Source organism: Homo sapiens, chromosome 14 (assembly GCF_000001405.40).
Source record: "Homo sapiens chromosome 14, GRCh38.p14 Primary Assembly".
In the NCBI taxonomy this organism is placed as follows: domain Eukaryota; kingdom Metazoa; phylum Chordata; class Mammalia; order Primates; family Hominidae; genus Homo; species Homo sapiens.
Window position 1 is genome coordinate 42,872,542 of NC_000014.9, and position 972 is coordinate 42,873,513.

At 33.5% G+C, this 972-nt stretch overlaps 1 annotated feature.

Annotated features, from left to right (window-relative positions):
• Nucleotides 204-713: an enhancer, noted in NCBI's record as "NANOG hESC enhancer chr14:43341948-43342457 (GRCh37/hg19 assembly coordinates)". NCBI's record gives its function as "activates a minimal SCP1, AML or CMV promoter by ChIP-STARR-seq in naive H9 embryonic stem cells {active_cell/tissue: H9 hESC(naive)}" and the evidence as "EXISTENCE:reporter gene assay evidence [ECO:0000049][PMID:30033119]".

The window sequence follows — 972 nt, forward strand, 5'->3', positions numbered from 1 at the left end:
AATAAGCATCAAATGAAAAAGGAAGAAATAAAATTATTTTTATCCACAAACAACATGATAGTTTATATAGAAAGTTTCAATGTGTGTGTGTATATGTGTATACATGTATTTATGTGTGTGTGTGTGTGTGTAATGTCTTAAGATAGTCTTAGATAAGACTAATAATGTCTTATCTTAAGATAGTCTTAGATAAGACTAATAATGTCTTACCTTAAGATAGTCTTAGATAAGACTAATAATGTCTTATCTTAAAAAGTTCTAAGCATTCAACTCGGCTATTCCAGTCCTGTGGTGGTTAATTTTATATGTCACCTTGCCTGGGCTAAGAGATGTTCAGATAGCTAGTAAAACATTTATGGGCATGTCTGTAAGTGTGTTTTCAGAAGACATTAGCATTTGAATCAGTTGACTGAGTAAAATGATCTGTTCTCACCAATGTGAATAGGCATCATTCAATCTTTTGAGAGCCTGAACAGCCTTTTGAGAGCCTGAACAAAAAGCCAGGTTAAACGTAATATCTCGCTCTGTCTTCTTGAATCAAGAAGTCTATCTTCTCCTGCCCTTGAACATCACAGCTCCTGAATTTTAGGCATTTGGACTCCAGATCTTACACAATCCTGTCTCCCTCTCTTTCAGCTTGAGCTGAATTACACCACTGGCCACCGGCTTTCCTGGTTCTCCAGCTTGCAGGTAATAAAACTACTATGCCTTCCTAATCATTTGAGCCAATTCCAATAATGCATCTCTCTCTCTTTGTATATATGTGCATATGTATATATATTCACATATATGTACACATATAAGCATATATATATGTATATACACATATATACATTTCCTACTGGTCTTTTTCTCTGAAGAACAATACACAATACAATTCCTACACTTTTCAAAATATAAATAAAACCATATGTCCATGAAAACATGTCTATACAACTGAATAACCAAATTTTAGTCTATATTATATCCACT